This window comes from Homo sapiens, chromosome 5 (assembly GCF_000001405.40).
Source record: "Homo sapiens chromosome 5, GRCh38.p14 Primary Assembly".
Classification (NCBI taxonomy): Eukaryota; Metazoa; Chordata; class Mammalia; order Primates; family Hominidae; genus Homo; species Homo sapiens.
In genome coordinates, this window is record NC_000005.10 from 75,650,286 (window position 1) to 75,669,714 (window position 19,429).

Below are 19,429 nucleotides of genomic sequence, written 5' to 3' on the forward strand. Positions count from 1 at the left end.
GAGGAAGAGGGAGGCAGACGAAGATGTCAGTGATGCAATGTGAGAAGGCCTCAGCTAACTGTTGCTGGTTTTGACAATGGAGCAAGGGGGTGTGAGCCAAAGAACATAGGAGGCTTCTAAGACCTGTAAGAGACAAGGAAGTGGATTCTCCTGAGAGCCTCCAGAAGGGAACATAGGTCTGCGAACTTCTTTTTTTAGCCCAGTGGGATCCATTTCGGACTTCTGACCTCCAGAACTATAAAATAAAACATTTTTATTAAGCCACTAATTTTATGGCAATGTCTTATAACAACAATAGAAAACTAATATAGGGGCCATTTTTACAGGCAAAGACAAAGAGGCCCGTACTTGACAGGCCACATATCCAAGGTCATATAGGCATTTAGCATCATGCAAGCTAGATTTCAGTTGGTCAGAGATATACAGGTCATTGCTGTTGGCATCTGTTCCATTATCTATTGCTTCCTAACAATCCAACCCAAAGCTCAGTGGCTTAAAACAACAATGTATTATTATTTTCATGGCTCTGTGGGTTGACTGGGCTCAGCTGAGAGGATTCTTAGTTTGAGTTTATTATGTGATTACAGTTGGAAGTCAGCCAGGATTTTGAAGGCTTACCTGAGCCCAATACCCAAGAGAGTACACTCACATGCCTGGCAGTTAATGCTGGCTGTCAGGTGGGAGCTCACCTGGGCCTCACCATGTGCCTCAGCCTACAGCCTGGGAACTGGCCTCTAAGAGGAACGATTACAAGAGCAGGCATTACAAAAGGCAGAGAGCAGCAGCTGCCAGGCTAGTTAGGGGCCATGCCTGGAACTGGCACGCTGGAATTTCTGCCATATTCTATTGGTCAAAGCAGTTACAGGGTCGACCCAGATTCAAGGAGGTGGAGAAATAAACCCCACCTCTTGATGAAGGGAGTGGCAAAGACATATTGCAGAGGAGCCTGTGGGACAGGAGATACTGATGCAGCCATTTTGGGAAAGCAATCTCCAACAGCATCCTTATTTGGAAGATGTGAAAATACTTTGTAGCAATCTTACAATTAATCAGTCAACAACCAATTCATTGACTTTGTATTATTGCAAGGCACCATGCTGGGCCATTTGGAGGATGGCAGGAGTGCCAGGAGCAGACCATCCCCTCAAGCAGTGTGCCCGACTCCTTGGGCACTAAGCAAAGACAGCTGAGCACAGGGAAGGAGAGGCGCTGAAAGGGCCGAGTAGGAAGATGATGAGGGAAGCTGCAAGTAGAAATTATGCTGAGCATTGAATGTCTGCCTAGCACAGGGGAGACTGGCAGTAAACAGGGCTGCAGGAAACAGTCCTTTCTTGGGGCTAATACCAAGTCACCTATTTGGTTCAAAGAGGGGTTTTGCTGAGGTGTATGGAGAGAAGACCTGGTTCTAGTCCACTTCCTACTTCCTGGGAGAAGGGAAATGAGGCTTTAACTCATATTTGCCCTAGGCATAGTGTCTTAGTCAGCTCAGGCTGCTATAAAAAATACCATAAAATTGGGTGACTTAACAAACATTTATTTCTCATAGTTGTGGAGGTTGGAAGTCTGAGATCAGGGTGCTAGCAGATCAGGTTCTGATGAGGCCCTCTTCCTGGTTTACGGACAACTGTCTTGCTGTATCCTCACATGGCAGAAAGAGAACTAGCCAGCTCTCTGGCCTCTTTTTGCAAGGGCATGGGTCTCATTCATAAGGGTTCCACCCAGGGTTCATCTGGATTCAAAGGAGTGAAGAAAATAACCCTGCCTCTTGATGAGGGGAGTGGCAAGGTTATACTGCAGAGACTGTGGGAAAGGAGATACTGATGCAGCAATTGCGGGAAAGCAATTTCCAGCAGCATCCTTAATTGAAAGACCTGCAAATACTTTGTAGCAGTCTTACAATTAATCAGTCAACAACGAATTACCTAATAACCTCCGAAAGTCCCCACCTCCTATCATCATCACATTGACATTAGAGTTTCAACATATGAATTTTGGGAGGGACGCAAACATTCAGTCTGTTGCACACGTGTTCCCTAGGGCTCTGACACTTTTATGGGAGACACTTAGAAAAAAACAATTAGGAAAAAACCACAATTGCTTTTGTACCATCCTAATAATAGCTCCCCTTCACCCCGGTAATTAAAAACACAATGGATTTTCTATTTATTTATTTAGAAACTGGGTCTCACTCTGTTGCCCAGGCTGGAGTGCAGTGGCATGATCTCGGCTCACTGCAATCTTTGCCTCCCAGGCTCAAACCATCCTCCCACCTCAGTCTCAGCCTCCCAAGTACCTGGGACCACAGGGACACACCACCAAGCCCAGCTAATTTTTGTAGAGACAAGGTTTCACCATGTTGCCAGGGCTGATCTCAAACTCCTGGGCTCAAGTGATCTACTGGCCTTGGCCTTCCAAAGTGCTAGAATTGCAGGCATGAGCCACTGTGCCCAGCCAGATTTTCTTTTTTAAATACAGCCATGCATCTCTGAATGACAGGGATATGTTATGAGGAATGCCTGATTTCATTGTGTGAACATAAATAGAGTGTACTTACCCAAACCTAGATGGTACAGCCTACAACACACTATATGGTATATCTATTGCTCCTAGGCTACAAACCTGTACAGCATAGTAACATAGTAACATAGTTAAGTACTTGTGCCATAGGAATTTTTCAGTTCCATTGTAATCTTATGGGACCACTTCAAGTCTGTCATTGACCAAATCACTGTTAAGTGATGCACGACTGTAGTTGTACTATTTCATTGTATTAACTGATTACCATGTCATAAACACCAGAAAACATGCTGAATTATAATGAGAGTTCCTCCTTGCCCTCTCTATTGTCTCTTGCAGCTCAATATCAGTAGTTTGCAGATAGCAACCAGGAACGGCCATGCATCCCTTGTCAACTTTCTTCTCAGTGAGAACGTTGATCTGCACCAGAAAGTGGAAGTGAGTTTATTCCAATGACACGGGCTTTGGTCCTGGCGCCGTGAGGTTGGCTGTGTCAGGGAGATGCCCCTTGCAGATACGTGTAGGAGATGAGATGTTTCACAAGGGAGGAATTCTTTCTGGGAAGGCTGGCTGACTTCTTTTGGAGGCTGAGTCTTAATCTTGAGAAATAAAATCCGAGGGATGAATTTTAGAAAGTCATTGAAGTTCCTGAACAAAATGAAATCTTTGTGTTTTAAATATTTGTATTTGCCGCAAAAAAGCTTTCTCATACGTCTAGAGATGCCATTACTCTTGTATTAATTTTATTAGTCTGGGAAAATAATGAAGCAGCTGTACATATCAAGAAGAGTGATAATTTTTCTCCCTTCACTGAATGTTCTTGTTTTTCTTTTGAAAGTCAATTCTTCATACTGATTTAGGTTTTCTGACGTTTGAATTGGCTTTGGCAGAATTAACAAAGGTCCTCTGTGCTGGAATTAAACAAGAAACATGCCTCTATTTTTCCACTCTATTTTCATTTCTCCGTTGAGAATATGATTTCCTCTGATCTTGCTGAGCCATTACTATTTATTGTATTAACTCAAGAGGAGGGATGTGGTTTAAATCATGTCAGATAGTTTTTGGAGCATGGTGTTGGGGGAATTGACTCTGAACTTACCTGGTTCAGTCCAAGGACACTTCCTGTTTCTCAGGAGGAGCTGGGCCCCTGCAAGGTGGGTGGCCCCGGCAAGAAGGCCAATGCCCACTTCTTTGCAATGTGGGATGCTTTCTCGTTTTTCATGCTTAGTGCTTCAAGGAGGTTATTCCTGAGCAGAAGAGACCTACACAGAAATTCTTCCTTTCATGCTGCTCCCATAGCCCTGCTCACATCATCTGTCTGCTCTGACCCTTGCTGGCCTCCGACAGTCTCTGACTTACTCAGCTGTGGTCTTCTACCTGTCCCCTCGTCTCCCCTCCCTCCATCTGCTGGTGACACTCTTGCCAACTCACTGTGGTCTCTCTTCCATCCATCTACCCCCATCTCCTGAGACAGAGCCTGGTGCAGATGGTAGAGTCAGAAAGGTCTGGGTTCAAGTCCTGTCTCTGCCACTTCCTTGCTGCATGGCCTTGTGGAAGTTACTGATCCTCTTTGTGTCTCATGTATGAAGTGGGGAATATGAGATCAAATGTCTAGGGTTATTGACGTGATTTTTGAAAAACTGTCAGCCTGGTGTTTAAAACAGAGTATAAACTGTTAGGGCAGCCTGGGCAACATGGCAAGACCCCATCTCTACAAAAATTTAAAAATTAGCCAAGCACAGTGGTGCATGCCTGTAGCCTCAGCTACTTGGGAGGCTGAGGTGGGAGGTTCGCTTGAACCCAGGAGTTTCAGGTTACAGTGAATGACGATGACTCCATTGCCCTCTAGCCTGGGCAACAGAGTGAAACCCCATCTCTGAAAAAAATAAATAAAAGAAACAGTTGGGGAAGTGAATGTGTAATAAGCACCACGATGAGAATGTGCTGAGTGTGTCTGATGCGTATCATTAATATCAGCTATTCCACTTGAGCGACGCTGCCCTTGTCCTAATCACTCACCCTCGTAGGCGCCTGTTCCCTCTCGCCACTCGCTTCACACTCAGCTCGGCTCCGGATCTGCACAGTGTCACTGGATCTTCAGCCCTTGCTGTCACACCCCTGTCCACCTTCCCCTGGTGCCCCGCCTCCCTCCCTTATCATGCTGGATGCCCCTCACCTCCCTCTCTCTCATGCCTTAATCGCTTCTGCCCTCACTTCCCTTCGTTGTTTCTTCCCTCCCTTTTCGCCCCGCTCAGCTGCCGTCTCTACTCCTGGAGGCATGTCTCCTCTCATGTCTCCACAGGCCAGTGGCAGCTGGGTGGGACTGTAGCAGCACAGGAGCCTGGAGGCAAAGTGTCGGGGGTAGATACAGGCCCTGTGGCCTAGCAGGGCTGGGTAAGAAGCCAGTGGTTGGGATAAGTGAGAGGGGCCGGGGGCTCCATGAAGGGCTGTGGCTGGGAAGACAGGTGGTTTAGCCACAAAGGAGAACGGGAGAGCAGGCTGCAGAGGGCTTGGTGACCACCTTGTGGCTAGACTCCGTGCGGGGAGAGCTGAGCATGAGGATGGTGCCCCTGAGTAAGGGGGACACGAGTCCTACAGGGCACACTGAGGAGTCGGGGCTCCAGAGCAAATCAATTCAGGAAATTCCAAATGTGCAATGATTTTGCCCTTGTGGCTACTCTTATTGCCCTTTAGCTTTTTGAAGTCTCTGAGAAGTCCTGTGGTTCAGCCTATTTAACACTTACTTATCCTTCATATTTGAGTTTAAATGTCAGTTCTTCAGAATAGTCTTTTCTGACCTCCTGAAAGGTCAGCCTTCCCCCTATCCCCACACTGGCTCTTCTACTTCCAAAGCACTTAATTGTATACTGTATTTGTGTGACTTAAAAAAATTAATATTTGCTTACCTGACTAGATTGGAAGATTCCTGAGAATGAGTTTGTTCACACTAAATCCCTAGCAACCTGAAAAGAGCTTGGCCCATAGTAGGTGCTTAGTATGTTGTTCCAGAAAGAACAAAGGGGGTGGGCCGATTGCTGGGGAACGAGTTTGTTTCAAAGCCTTGGGATGACAATAAATGCTGAACACTTACTAAGGGTCACCACTGGGATGGGCAGTTTCGGTACTTGGGAGATCATCAGGAAATAGCTGCTGAAATGAGTTGCTTTTTGATTTGAATGTTGAAGCCAGAACCTTCTGGATTTGAAATTTTTATTTCTCTCTGCAGCCTAAGGAGTCCCCTCTTCATTTAGTTGTTATCAACAACCACATCACGGTTGTAAACAGTTTATTAAGTGCACAGCATGATATTGACATCTTAAATCAGGTAAGCCAGGCAAATCAGAGCCTGGAGGGTCTCTTTTCTTAGTTTCAACACAGTGTGTGTTTATGGGGAGTTTTGATTAAGTTCAAGGTACCTAAAAATTCCTGGGAGGAACATGAGCATCCTTTTTATCCTTTTCCTTCTGTAACTCTCACTCCATCTCCATGACCACACACATACTTTCGTCTTTCTCAGCCACACAACTGGAGTTCAGCCATTGCGTGATTAAATCCTTCATGTTTAACAGGCCCAGCATTTTTGATAGAAAAACAGTAGCTCAGAGCTAAATGGCCAGAGGCTCTTTAAATCAAAAGCCACTCCCCCAGAGTGAAATATTGTAATTGGCAGGGAGCCTTTCCCCCACAAGAAGGAAGCTTTGTTTCTATATTAAAGACAGTAAATGTATCTTCTCTTTACCTAAAGGCAAAAGAGGCCTCTTGGAATAAAAGAAAAATCACTCCAATTTCAGTCAACTGGAGCAGAATCAAATGACTCGTTAAAGTAATCCATCACTGGCTGGAAATGGGAATGCCGCAACGGAATGATGAAGGGAATGGGGGTGGGCACTGAATGAGCCTGCTCTCTGGGGCTCTTCTGGGGCTGGCCTGCCCTCTTCCAGGATATGTAGGGGAGTGGGAAGAGGAGCCTTTCCAGGGTCCCGAGGCCAGATGAGACCTTCTGGCTGCCTCTTCCCAGAGAAGGCTCTGCGGTGCCCTTCCGGCTAGGGAGGAGCCATGGTGCAGTGGGCATGCCTGCCTGTCCTAATACACTGTGAAACCAGAGCGTTGACTCAGATCTCTGCAGTCTCCTCCAATTCCCACCTATGAGCTCAATTTTGCTCTGAGCTGAATGAAGATTTACCTGTACTTCGGTCCCTTCTCTCCTCCAGGGAACCTAGCCTCCTCCCCTGCCTTTACCTATCCCAAAAGTTTTTCTGGGGAAAAAAACCAATCTCCTTTTGTTATTAAATATACTTATGTATTCAACTACGTTAATATCTAAAATCTTTCCCAATGGGCAAAATCTTTGCTGAACACAGAGGCAGAGCTTCGTGCTCACATGTGATATTGGTTTTGACAGAACTGGCTAGATGTACTCTAGGGAAGGAGTGTTTGTTAGGTTTGCTATCCTTTTTCAGAACCAGACTTCATCACTTTAATTTTTTTATTAGACCAAGAATACACATAAAAAATAGGAAATTTTATATTTTAAATATAAAATATGTATGTAAAATTAAAAATATAAGCTAAAAAAACTTAATGTGTTTGAAGTCCCCAGCAAAGAAAGATAACTCTTCTTAATGTTTTAGTGCATTTCCTGCCTTCTAGACTTGTAGCAGTATTGTTAAAATGGGTTTTGTTGCATTTGATACATTCCATTTTCATCTGTTCCATGTTGGTACAGATCTTTGATAGGTTTGTCAGTATAAGTGTAATGTCTTGAATGACAAACACCTAGACACACTGCCATTTGAAGGTGAGTCTTTAAGAAATGCTTTTTGGGGCCGGGCGTGGTGGCTCATGCCTGTAATCCCAACACTTTGGGAGGCTGAGGCGGGCGGATCATGAGGTCAGGAGTTTGAGACAAGCCTGGCCAATATAGTGAAACCCTGTCTCTACTAAAAATGCAAAAAATTAGCTGGGCGCCTGTAATCCCAGCTACTTGGGAGACTGAGGCAGAAGAATTGCTTGAACCCAGGAGGTGGAGGTTGTAGTGAGCTGAGATCGCCACCACTGCACTCCAGCCTGGGCAACAGAGTGAGACTCCATCTCAAGAAAAAAAAAAAAAAAGAAATACTTTTTGGAAGCCAGGTGTTTTGGGTCACACCTGTAATCCCAACACTTTGGGTGGCCAAGATAGGAGGATTGCCTGAGGCCAGGAGTTTGAAACCAGCCTGGGCAACATAGTGAGGCCTCATCGCTAAAAAAAAAAAAAAATTAGTAGAGCCTGTAGTCTCAGCTACTCAGGAAACTGAGAAGGGAGGATTGCTTGAGCCCAGGAGTTCGAGGTTACAGTGAGCTACTATCATGCTACTGCATTCCAGTCTGAGTGACAGAGTAAGAAACTGTCTCTAAGAAAAAAATTAAAATATAAATAAATATATAAATGTTTTTTGGTAATATCCCCAGCATATTGGCCCTGTGCTCTGGTAGGAAGAGTAGTGGGCCACATGCCATTGCCCAGCTCTGTGAGTCTGGGGTAGTTGCTTCCCTTTCTGGTTAAGGAGTTGGGCTAGATCACATCAAAGGATCCTCTCTGCCCTAATATTTTAGAAATCTCTTCACATCTGCATTCCTTTTGGTGAGAGGTTAAGACGGGTGATTTTCTTGTGATTTCAGATATTTCTTTTGAAACTCTTATCCTCTTGATAGGAAAATGATTACTCCAGAAGGAAATTTGAAGTCTTGGACTCCTTTATACATTATAACGTAGAAAATTTAGAGAACAGAAATGCATTGAGAAGGCAATAAAAATAAACTCTAATCCCTTCATCTAGACCTTATCATTAGCATTTTTCTGTACTGTATTTTTGTCTCTTTCTCTATGTGTATTTTTCATTAAATCAAGCTCAACTAGATAGTATCATTTCCTAAAGTTTCAAATGTTATATCAAAAGCGTCTTTTATTTTTAAAAAATCTTCGAAATAATTTTTATTGTAGTAAAATACACATAAAATCCACCATTTTAACCATCTTAAGTGTACAGTTCAGCAGCATTAATTACATTCATTTGGTATAATATCACCACCATCCATCTTCAGAACATTTTTCATCTTCCCAAACTGAAATTTTATATCTATTAAACGGTAACTTCCCATTCCCTCCTCCAGCTCCTGGGAACCACCATTCTACTTTCTGTCTCTATATATTTGACTACTTTAGGTACCTAATATTGAAATCATTTTTAAAAAAATAATTTTTAATGGTTGCCTGTTATTCCAATATATAGATTATCATAATTTATCTAGTGAGTCTCCTTGTTAAACATGTAATTTCCTTTCAGTTTTTCACTATTGCAAATAATAATGCAATGAATGCCCCAGTATCCATTAAAAAATATATGACCTGTGTTTTCCCTTGAACCTAAATAGGATGGCTATACTTTCCATTTGTCTTTTCACCGTCCAAGTTTGTTCCCCTCCTTAATTTCATGGCAGAAGCAGCAAACCCCTCTGCATGTAGCTGCTGATCGTGGAAATGTGGAACTGGTGGAAACCCTGCTGAAGGCAGGCTGTGACTTGAAGGCTGTTGACAAGGTAAGTGCATGGACTTTACTCCATTCAGCTGAGATGGTTGCTAAGACCTTCCTGTTGGATGTCAGCCTTGAGCAGCGTTATTGGAATATCCTTTGTGAAATGGGCACAAACTGGAGAAACCATGCATCTTCATAGTCAGTAAAATACCCCAATTTTGGTTGAGCTATGTCAGTAAAAATTTTTACTCTGAAGAAAAAATATGTGTTTTTAAATTCAAATTCTGAAAAGATTATAGATTCGTATGGTCCAGAAATAAAAGAATATAATTAGTAAGGGTTTAACAGTAAAAATTTCCCACCCACCCCTGTTCCTACTTGTCTGGTTACCATACTACCCCGCTTATATATATCCATTATTATAAATTATTTCTGTTCCTTCCAGAGTTTTTTATGCATATGCAAGCAAACATAAACACATTTTACTCTTATTCCCTTCCTCCTTCCTTTTTAGACACTGATGGCATACCTATAACTAGTATACTGTTCTGCATTTAGCTTTTTTAGCATTATTAAGTGGAGATATTACTACATGGAGAGTTTCTTCATTCTTTTTTTTTTTAGAGCTGCATAGTATAGCGTGGCACAGACATATCACAACTTGTTCAGCTAGTCCTCACTTGATTGACATTTAAGTTGTTCCTAAGGTTTTGCTCTTATAAACATAGCTGCAATGAATGACTTTACATATGTCTAAACTTGTTTTTTTAAATTAAAAAATTTGTGGTAAAATACACACACATAAACACTGTCTTAACCATTTTTATGTATATAGTTCAGTATGGTTAAGCATATTCACATTGTTATGCAATTGGTCTCCAAAACTTTCATCTTGCAAAAGTGAAACTTTACACTTATTCAATAACTTGCCATTTCTTCCTTCTCCCAGCCCCTGGGAACCACCATTCTACTTTCTGTTTCTATGAATTTGACCACTCTAAGTACCTCATATAAGTGGAATCACATAGTATTTGCCTTTTTGTGACTGGCTTAGTTCACTTAGCGTAACGTCTTCAAGGTTTATCTATGTTGTAGCATGTGTCAGAATTTCATTTCTTTTCAAAGCTAAATAACATTTCATTGTATGTCTATACCACATTTTGTTCATTCATTCATCCATCGATGGACATTTGGGTTGCGTCCACCTTTTGGCTATTGTGTAAACCTGTTTTTAAAGAAGGACAATTTTGTTTCTTTCAAGTGGTGCAGTAATGCAGGCTAAGCCTCCGGAGGGTTGTCAGAGAGCTGTGTTAGGTTCCAGCTTTACTGAATGTTATATAGGAGGTCCCTGGGTACAGTCCTGTCAGGTGCTCACGCAGGCCATATTACTTCAATCCTCACATTTCAGTGAGGTGGACAAAATCACTCCAGTTTTCAAGAGCAGATTGGAGAGATTCTGATGACATTGGGTCACACGCATAGTAAGAGGCAGAGCTGGCTTCAAATCCAAGTAGTGGCTGCTTTGTCATCTGGTGCTTTGCTACAACTGTCAGCAAAGATGACTGCTTCCGAAACTTGCAGTTTTCCCTTCCTTATTTTTACCCAACAGTTCAATAGCCAGCACTTCCCTAAGTCACAGTGCAAGCCTGAGTCCACCCTACTCTAGTTCAGAATCATCCATTTTACATGTGTAGGATCTAAAGTAGTTATATGTTATTTTACTTTTCTCTGTGTGTCAGTTTCTAAAATTAGGTTTTTTTGTTTTTTTTTTTCTGATCATAAAAAAAGTAACACAGACTGGCTGGGCGCGGTGGCTCACACCTGTAATCTCAGCACTTTGGGAGGCTGAGGCAGGCAGATCATGAGGTCAGGAGTTTGAGACCGGCCTGACCAACATGGTGAAACCCTGTCTCTACTAAAAATACACAAATCAGCCGGGCATGGTGATGCGCAACTGTAATCCCAGCTACAGCGGGGGCTGAGGCAGAAGAATCACTTGAAACCGGAAGGCGGAGGTTGCAGTGAGCCGAGACCGTGCCAGTGCACTCCAGTCTGGGTGAAAGAGCGAAACTCCGTCTGAAAAAAAAAAAAAAAAAAAAAAAAAAAAAGTAACACAGGCCCACTGTGGACGATTTAGAACACAGAAAAGCTTAAGGAGGAAAACACAACACAGAATGTTATCACTTGTGTGGAATTCCACCACTTTCACCAGTTGTGCCTGGTTAATTTGGTTTAACATTTAGCCTTAGTATTTTTTAATGCTGTTGTTTTGTATTTTATTCTACTTTTTCATGAATACTTAATACCCCCAAAGCCATTCTGTGGGTACGAAATCTATAGCATTGGGCAGGGATTTATGTTGGGGTCCCTGCTGCTTAGTGGACTAGATATTCCAGTAAATACAGTCAATGCTACCATTTGACTTTGTTTTCAAAACAAGAGCTCACAGTTTACTGGGCCTCATGATTTGACTTTCCCAGATTTCCCTTCTTCTCCTTTCTTTTCAAGGTCTGGCACATAGTTGGCACCCAATACATAGTTAATAAATGAATAAAAAATATCTTTTCTATTGGCTCCCACAATTTTTTTTTTTTTTTTTTTTTTTTTGCCAAAGAAAAGTGTTTCTAGGACCATGTTAGGGTCTGGTTAGGAAATAAGGAATCAAAGTTTGGTATAAATTTGACTTTCCCAGCAGCTTGTTCTCTGCTTGTCCTCTTGGCCTGAGGTGTCAAAAAGCTCTCAGAGAACCTTCTATCCACGCTACCTCCCAACCCCTAAGGGTAGAAGTGTTTGGATTTTCACTCCAGCATATATTCCTTAGGAAGATTTTCCTTTGAACTTGGAAACTCTGGCTCTCAGAATGCTGCCTTCTCAAAGCAGGCTAATTATAGTGATTCAAATGGCTCTGCAAGACAGAATGTAGACAGCATACAATTAGAGGCTTGCTAAATGCCTGCAAAATGCAGTTCTTCCTAATTTCATTACTGTCTCTTTTGATTACAGGCTGATTACTTTCAGCCCTAATTTTCCTGCTCCCCTGGGTCTTAGTGCCTAGACTAAGAACCAAATCATTTATATTGGTGGGAATCGCACTTGTTGCAAATATCTAACCATGTAAGATAATACTTGGGATATATTTCTGGATCCATAAGGGTTCCTAAGATTGGAACTCTTCTTCTTGGGTCATTTCTGACCATTAATTTTAATTGTTTTCTGAGCAAATTCTTCATGGGTCATTTGAAAAGCAAATGAGAACCACCATCCTTTGCTCAGGGAAAAATATTTAGATGTTGAAGTGGTGCACTCTATGAAATCCAGAGGATTCTGCTTGCAAAGCTCTATGCCCTGGCTTTGAGCTCTGTCCATCTTGAGAAAAGTGTACCTTTTTGTAATTCGTCTAAGTTACCATGTGGGCTCCAGGCAGTTCATTCCCAAAATTATGTCCAGAACAGCCCTTGTTGATCATTCCATTTGTTTAAGATTAAAACCTCTCACCCTTGGTGAGAGGCAGTATGGTATAATAGAAAAAATTTCTAGTTAGGGGTCCAGTGACCTATGAATTACCAGGGTTGCCATTATTGATATTATTCTTAATAAGATCCAGCCCTTTTCTGTCTTATTACTCAGTGCTCCTCAAAACATGGCTTCTACTTCCTGGTCTAAAGTGGCTGTTCAGGCTCCTGCCATCATGTCAGCATTCCACTCAGGAGGGAGAAGAAAAGAAGGAAAATGCCATTCATCTCTCTTCTGTTTAAAGATACTTCCCAGAAGTTGCATGTCCCACTTCTATTTACAGACCATTGGCCAGAACTTAGGTCACATAACTAACTGCAAAAGAGGCTAGGAAATATTCAGGGTGGCACAGGTTCTAAAGGCTTTATATGCATTATCACATTTACCCCTGACCACTCCACTATGGGGTAGTTATAAAGACCCAAAGAAGCAAAGGACTGGCCTAAGTTTACCCAGCATGGGCTGGTAGAATCAAGATTTGAACCGAGGCCCCCTTGTTCCAAAACTAGAGCTCCTAATCACTAGGCCATATCACCTGAATTTTTTTTCTTTTTTAATTTTAGCAAGGAAAGACTGCCCTGGCTGTGGCCTCCAGGAGCAACCATAGCCTTGTCGTGGGCATGCTCATTAAAGCAGAGAGATACTACGCCTGGAGAGAGGTAAGGAAGGACGATCCCAGCACAGCAGGGGCTTTCCTGGCAACACCCATCTTCTTGCAGGGGCAATGGGGGGGTCTGTGCCATTCTTTGCTCTAATGAGCAGAGCTCTGGTCAGTACAATTATAACTGTCCCTTCTGTCTTGTGCTGCCCCCATTCGTGGAATGAACAGCTGCCTCTTCCTTTGTGGACATCAGACGTCAGAACTGAGAGCGCGTAGAGTTCACTAGGGCCAAGCGGCATTGACCAGGCCAGCTATAATGGGCCTAGCGTGTGAGCCCCTGATGGGTGACGCCTGGTTGTTCCCTCTGTCCACAGTCTGGCCATGAGCTATTCCCAGTAGCACGAATGAGTGGTTAAAAAACTCCTTTGTGTGGCTCGGCAGTTTTCAACACACCGCTGTGCAGGCTTTCAGGCACTCAAGTATTCTGTGAGAGTCACGAAAACCTTATTCATCTAAGAACACAAAAAAACTTGTCTGTAAGTCATTCTTTTTGCTGTTCTTTTATTTTTATTTCCTCTGATATCTGCTACCCATGCAGCTTCTCAATAGACTGCCCTCCCCTGCAAGATTCAACTCCATGCCCTCAGGCAAGAATGGCACTGCCAGGCACCATTCTTGATTTATAGTGATGTGTTGTTTCCATTCTAGGCTGCGTGGCTACCCCTGGCCCAATGTGTTAGCTCCAGAATTCAGGCCCTAATCACTTGGAGCCCACCCTGAGTTTCTACAAACCTGGATTGCTGTCCACCTGGCCAGTCTTGGGAAATTTCCCTTAAATCCTTAAAGCAAAAAGCATTTACTCATCTCCTTCTCTCTCACAATCCTGTTTAATTAGCTTGGTAGTCTTGATATATATGGATTCTTTTAAAGGTCACACCATCCTCCTTGCAACTTTTCTTGCCTGTAAAACAAAACAAAAAAAGTGCTTTGCTTGTAAAACTTTTTATTTTAACAATTGGAACTCTGTTTCTTCTCTCCCATTCCTCATATTTCTATGTTCTTCCATCTCCTCCCTTTACCTCTTCCTCTTTTCCTATCCTCAGGCTCAATTTCTTAAATTATCATTGTATTTTATTGAAGACAACTTTGCCAAGTTCCATCTTTTCTCTTTCTCTTTAACTTGCTTTCACATTTTCTTTGGAAATAGAAATATTCATTGGTTCTATTTTTAATTCCTGATAGCTCTTTAAAAATTATTTTGGGTAGATAAGAATAAATTACTTTCCCACCAAATGAATATGCCCTCTTTCCTAATGAATCTTTAAGACATAAGAGTTAGGTATACTTTGAAAACCATATATAAAACATGAATATAGCTAAAGGAGACCCCCAGAAATGGTAAGAGTTGTTAACTCCGGTGACAATTGGGGTCCTGGGGTCTGGAGTGGGAGAAATACTTGTTTTTTAAGATACATCTTTAAATATTTTTTTAACCAAATGCATTTATTATTTTAAATTCTCTTTGTTCATTGAACAAGTTTATATCCTCGCCTAATATAAAATGGTTCCTAGTAAAAGGATTAAAGATATGATTTAAATTTCCTCTCTCATATCCATTTATCCATTAACCTAACCACCCAATCATCCATTATTAAATTCAGTGGTTCAGAGGCAAATGGGAGCTTCCTAAAACCTGGCTTATGTTATTTTAATTTCCACCAGTTCTGGCTCATGTTATTCCTGCAAATAGTTCAGTGTTTTGGCAGGCAAGCTATTTAATGCTTCACTGGCTGCTGAAAAAGACCTAGGCTTTCCAAATCTCCTGCCCTTTTCAATGGAAGCCTAAGGGACCACCCAATCCAATCCTGAAAGGCACAAACCATGTAAGTTTCTTGAAGAGCTAAAAATGTTATCGCACAAAGATAGATGCAGAAGCATTTTGTGTTCTTCCCTTTCCCTTGTGACATTTAGGCTCTTGATCTTGTTGGATTCATCATTGTTTCAGGAGATGGAATGAGGAGAGAAGGACAAAGTGAAGTGGCCCACAGCTCCCAAGTTTGCTGGAGCTCCCCATCCTCAATCTTACTTCTTTTAGAATTCCTGGGAGCTAGGCACTGTGGAAGTAAAGCTGAGGCTGGGTTGGAGAAGACCCTGCTTTTTACAGTCTCTAAAACAATTATGGGTAATTCACACCTCCCATTCCTATTTCAACTTCTGTACACAAAGTTCAGATACTAGAGGAAGGTTTTGCCCTTCTTGGCCAAGCTTCCCGGGAGGAGCTTATTGCATTTCCCTTGTCGAGCTTCCTGGAGGAGGTTTCTGATGCTGTGAAGGATCCATGGTGGGGGCCCATCAAGTTCTTCTCATCAGTTTTTAAACCCAGGGTCCTAGACAGTTTTGGTTCATTTCCTGCCCCAGCCTGGATTCCCATCTTGTTGTCAAGAATATTTTCATTAAGATACACCTCTATTTAAGTGAAAGACAAAAATAGAAGTCACTATACATGAGAAAGGAAGTCCCAGACTTCTTGGTGGGCCACTTGTCCTGCATGTCCTTAACTGATCTGCAAACTTCTGCAGGAGGATTACCTGGAGGCCTAGTGGCATAAGCACAGCATGCAGTTCTAGGAAGCAGTGATGCCTGCTTTCACTCAGTGATTTTCTCCGGTGTTTGTGGTTTGATTCTGCAGGACTCTGGTGGATTCTGCAGAAGGGACAAAAGGAACCTTTCAACAGTCAGAAAACAAGATGCCAATCTAGGCATAGTGCTGTTGGTCTGAGCCTGGCTATAGTGACTTTAAATGATGTCCACTCCTGTCCTCTCCACTCCCTTAGTCACCTCTTCCCCAAGCCCCAGCCTGAGCTAGGCTCCTAGTTTACTCTCCTTATGCTCACCAGAGAGCAGGATGAATGAGGGACCAGCTGTGGGGTCTTATTAAGGATACAGCCAATCTGGGCTCACCGAAGCTTCAATATGAGAACATCAAATACCCAAAAGAAGAAATGGGGGTATGGGTTCAAACAAAGGCCATTAAAGATGGTTTTGTTGTTGTGACACATCCTTTGCCAAGACAGCCTCTCTGTTCTCATTCTCTGTTCTAAGCAGCATGGGACACAATAGGCAAAATCCCTCACATTTCCTGTGTCAGACAGACGGTACCCAAGCTTTTAATTTCAAGCATTTATTTCCATTTTGGATGGCAAAAAAAAAAAATATATATATGATCCAGTGACAGGAGGCATTGAAAACATAGTCTCGGTTACCACCTTACTAGTTATGTTTGAAAAACATATATACTCTGAAATAAGGTAATAAGTAGAACATGTCTGAAATCTTCTGATACAATTATTTTCACTTTAGGAGCATCATGAGAGCATCAGGGACCCGTCAACAGGCTTTACTCTGACATTCAAGCAAGATCACAGTCTGGAGACCAGACACATTCGCACGCTTCTCTGGGACCTGGCTTACCATCAGCTGAAGGCCAATGAGTGGCAGAGGCTGGCCCGTTCGTGGAACTTTACAGATGACCAGATTAGAGCCATTGAGGAGCAGTGGTCGGGTGAGTACAGACTAGATGATGTGGGCAGGAGGAATTCACTGTTAGGAACAGCAGTGCCTCCTGGTGTGAGGTCTTCCAAGGAAGTGTGTGGCACTCACAATAAGCTGCAGTCTTCAAGGGGCCCAGGAATAGGGGCAGTTAGCTTAGGTCCACACCAGTGATTTGGGCATTAAGATTTGCAGAAAGTGAACACTCATGGTCTGCAGTAAACCGAAGTTTGTAAAGGATGATTATGTGTATTGACCCATATCAGACATGTGCATTTAGCCTAGAGAGACAGTAAGATTCCCAACTGGACGGTCACTAAGGAAGCAAGCAAGGATTTAACAGTTGGTGTGTCAGTGGGAAGCCAATCTGATTTCTATGTTCCTTGAGACTGTCCTGGGGTGAATGGGTTCATTCTGTAATCAATAGGCTCGCTGTTTAAGTCTGCGCTCCAGAAAGAGGAATTCCTTAAAGCAGGTGGGTGTAGGAGAAAGGGTTGTTGTAGGACACTGCCTTAGGGGAGACTTGGCTGTGCCATGAGCGACACGGCAAATACAGACTCAGAGGGCTTTCTTGGCTAGATGATTCCAAGCAATGGAATCATTTCAGCTGGACTCAAACTGTCATAATTAGTGAAGTCAGGTCAGCTAGATTCCTTAATTTTGTTTTTTGTGGTTAGACGAAAACCTAGGAAACATAGAAAGTTTACTTGGCATTAATCAACTAATTAGCTTTGAAAACAATGAAGCAAACATGTTTCTTGGCAAAGTTTTCTATTCAGAGCACTGCCCTCTCATGGACATCCTAAGACGAGAAGGTGTCCTTGCTCAGGGGTCTATTTGTATTAGGGATTGCTGGGAACTGGGGATGGCAGAAGCACAGTCCATGAGCACACACTATTTATACCACATACAAGTAAATTATGAGACTTTGTATTGCACATTCTTAGGATACATTTTCATGTGAAAAATAGAAGATAATGTATTGAAAACATTGAATACTAACTAGTTTCTAACTAGAAAAATTTTTTTATTGTTAAGATTTCTTTTTTGTCATTAATTAGGCTTATAGTGTTCTGTGAAGTCTTTAGGAAAATTGAGTTGCCTCCTGGAACTCTAACTTGACCTAAAGAGATGACTTGAAAATATAGTGTATCTTCAGAGTACTTGCCAGCAGGATAAGGGGGATTTTAAAGTGTTTCGATGGAACCTTTATGGAGGGCCTGGAGTGTTTATTTCTGCTGGATGAGGGATAGATACATCAGCTCTCTAAGCCATGCATGTTTGATGGAGTTTATAATCTAGTTGGCACAATAACAATGACACTTGCAATTCAATTATATTGTGATCCAGGGTAAGGTTACTGGCACTGGGGAGTTTGTGGGCTTTTGATCAAAGGAGTGACAGACTCATGATGGTATTTAAGAAAAATTAGTTTGTCAAGAGCAAGATTAGGAAAGGAACAGAGGACTTGTCCAGGAGTACATTCTGTAAGTATGCAGTTCCCTCTCCCTGAAATGCCCGCTTCTCCATATCAGTCTGTCCAGTGAACTTCTCCCTCACCCCTGCAGAGCTCAGGCCCTTCCCTTGCACAGCATGTCTGCTCCTGCACACTCTCTCTCAGAGCAAGGAGCCTGTAGTGAAGTCCTGTTGGGAACCACAGAGGCTTTGTGGCTCCCTATCCCGGTACTTCCCCCAACACCTCTCTAGGCTGAGATATGCAGTGAGTATTTATCAAATGAATAATCCTGGCCCAGGGATGCAAACTTCCCTCAGAGTAGCTTCCTTGAGACTGGAGTGGCAGAATGAATGGTGCATGCTTGCTGCTCAGAGTGGGGAATATGGAGCAGCAGTGGCAGCAGCACCCGGGAGTTTGTTAGATGCATGGATTCTTACCCCAGACCTACTGAATCCAAACTTGCATTTTAGTAAGATACCCAGGTGAAATAAGCACTGTGAGTTTGAAGAGCACTGGTCTATGAGAAGTTGCATATTTCATTAAAATTGTTCCCCCTGGGCAGGCACCACAGCTGTCCTCTCTCTTGTACACTCCTTTGGGTGTGTGCCAAGCATAGCAGGTGCATAGCACAGGCTGGAGGGAAAGCAAATGCTGGTCATCATAAAGCAGCACAGCGAGGGCAACTGGAAGGGCTTTTTTCGAAGAGGAACAGGCAAGCAAACAGTCATTCAGAAAGTTTAGTTGGAACTGAGATCACAATGGAAAGAGATAGCAGCTCGTGGTGTTTTACCTCGGACCTCTTGTGCTTGGCACAGGAAATGAAAGCTTCCGTGAACATGGCCACAGGGCTCTGCTTATCTGGCTACACGGGACCCTGATGACTCAGGGTGACCCGGCCAAGCAACTGTATGAAGAGCTGGTACACGCAGGTTTCCCAAAACTAGCTGGTAAGTGACAGTTTCAACAACAGAAATTCTTTCTCCCTTAAAATTTCAGGAAGCAGTCTACAGAAATATCATCCTGACCAGCTACAGCCCCAGCGTGGTGTTAGCTGTGGCTCACACGGAGTATGGAACTATGGAAGGGGCTTGTAAGCTGTCAGCAGCTTCTCCTTTGGGGAATGACCCAGTCAATACTGGTTACTCATTAGCCTGGCAGTTCTGTGTCATCCCCCTACTCAGCATTTGAAAAAGTGTGGGAGTGTTTTTGTTTATGTGTATGTGTGGTGGGGGCAGGTGGGGTGGGGCAGAAGTGCTAAACTATCCCATACAGTTATAG

The 19,429-nt window shown here is 42.9% G+C and overlaps 1 protein-coding gene across 7 annotated transcripts in view, besides 2 other annotated features; it reads left to right on the forward strand.

Moving 5' to 3' along the window:
• The window catches only part of ANKDD1B (ankyrin repeat and death domain containing 1B), a 60,394-nt gene that overhangs the window by 38,833 nt on the left and 2,132 nt on the right, over positions 1–19,429 (forward strand). For 4 of the 7 annotated variants that reach the window (XM_017009814.2, NM_001276713.2, XM_047417686.1 and 1 more), the window contains 6 exons: positions 2,857–2,955; positions 5,744–5,842; positions 8,998–9,096; positions 13,109–13,204; positions 16,507–16,708; positions 18,967–19,098. In XM_017009814.2, the coding sequence (XP_016865303.1) occupies positions 2,857–2,955; positions 5,744–5,842; positions 8,998–9,096; positions 13,109–13,204; positions 16,507–16,708; positions 18,967–19,098 (727 nt within the window). The remainder of the gene's footprint in view (positions 1–2,856; positions 2,956–5,743; positions 5,843–8,997; positions 9,097–13,108; positions 13,205–16,506; positions 16,709–18,966; positions 19,099–19,429) is intronic. The other 3 variants (XM_017009815.2, XM_011543618.3, XM_017009816.2) reach the window with 2 other exon arrangements.
• Positions 13,084–14,283: an enhancer, noted in NCBI's record as "BRD4-independent group 4 enhancer chr5:74959194-74960393 (GRCh37/hg19 assembly coordinates)". NCBI's record gives its function as "activates an origin of replication core promoter dependent on BRD2, P300/CBP, MED14 and CDK7 cofactors, and independent of BRD4, by STARR-seq in HCT116 cells {active_cell/tissue: HCT116}" and the evidence as "EXISTENCE:reporter gene assay evidence [ECO:0000049][PMID:35650434]".
• Positions 16,694–17,195: an enhancer, noted in NCBI's record as "NANOG hESC enhancer chr5:74962804-74963305 (GRCh37/hg19 assembly coordinates)". NCBI's record gives its function as "activates a minimal SCP1, AML or CMV promoter by ChIP-STARR-seq in naive H9 embryonic stem cells {active_cell/tissue: H9 hESC(naive)}" and the evidence as "EXISTENCE:reporter gene assay evidence [ECO:0000049][PMID:30033119]".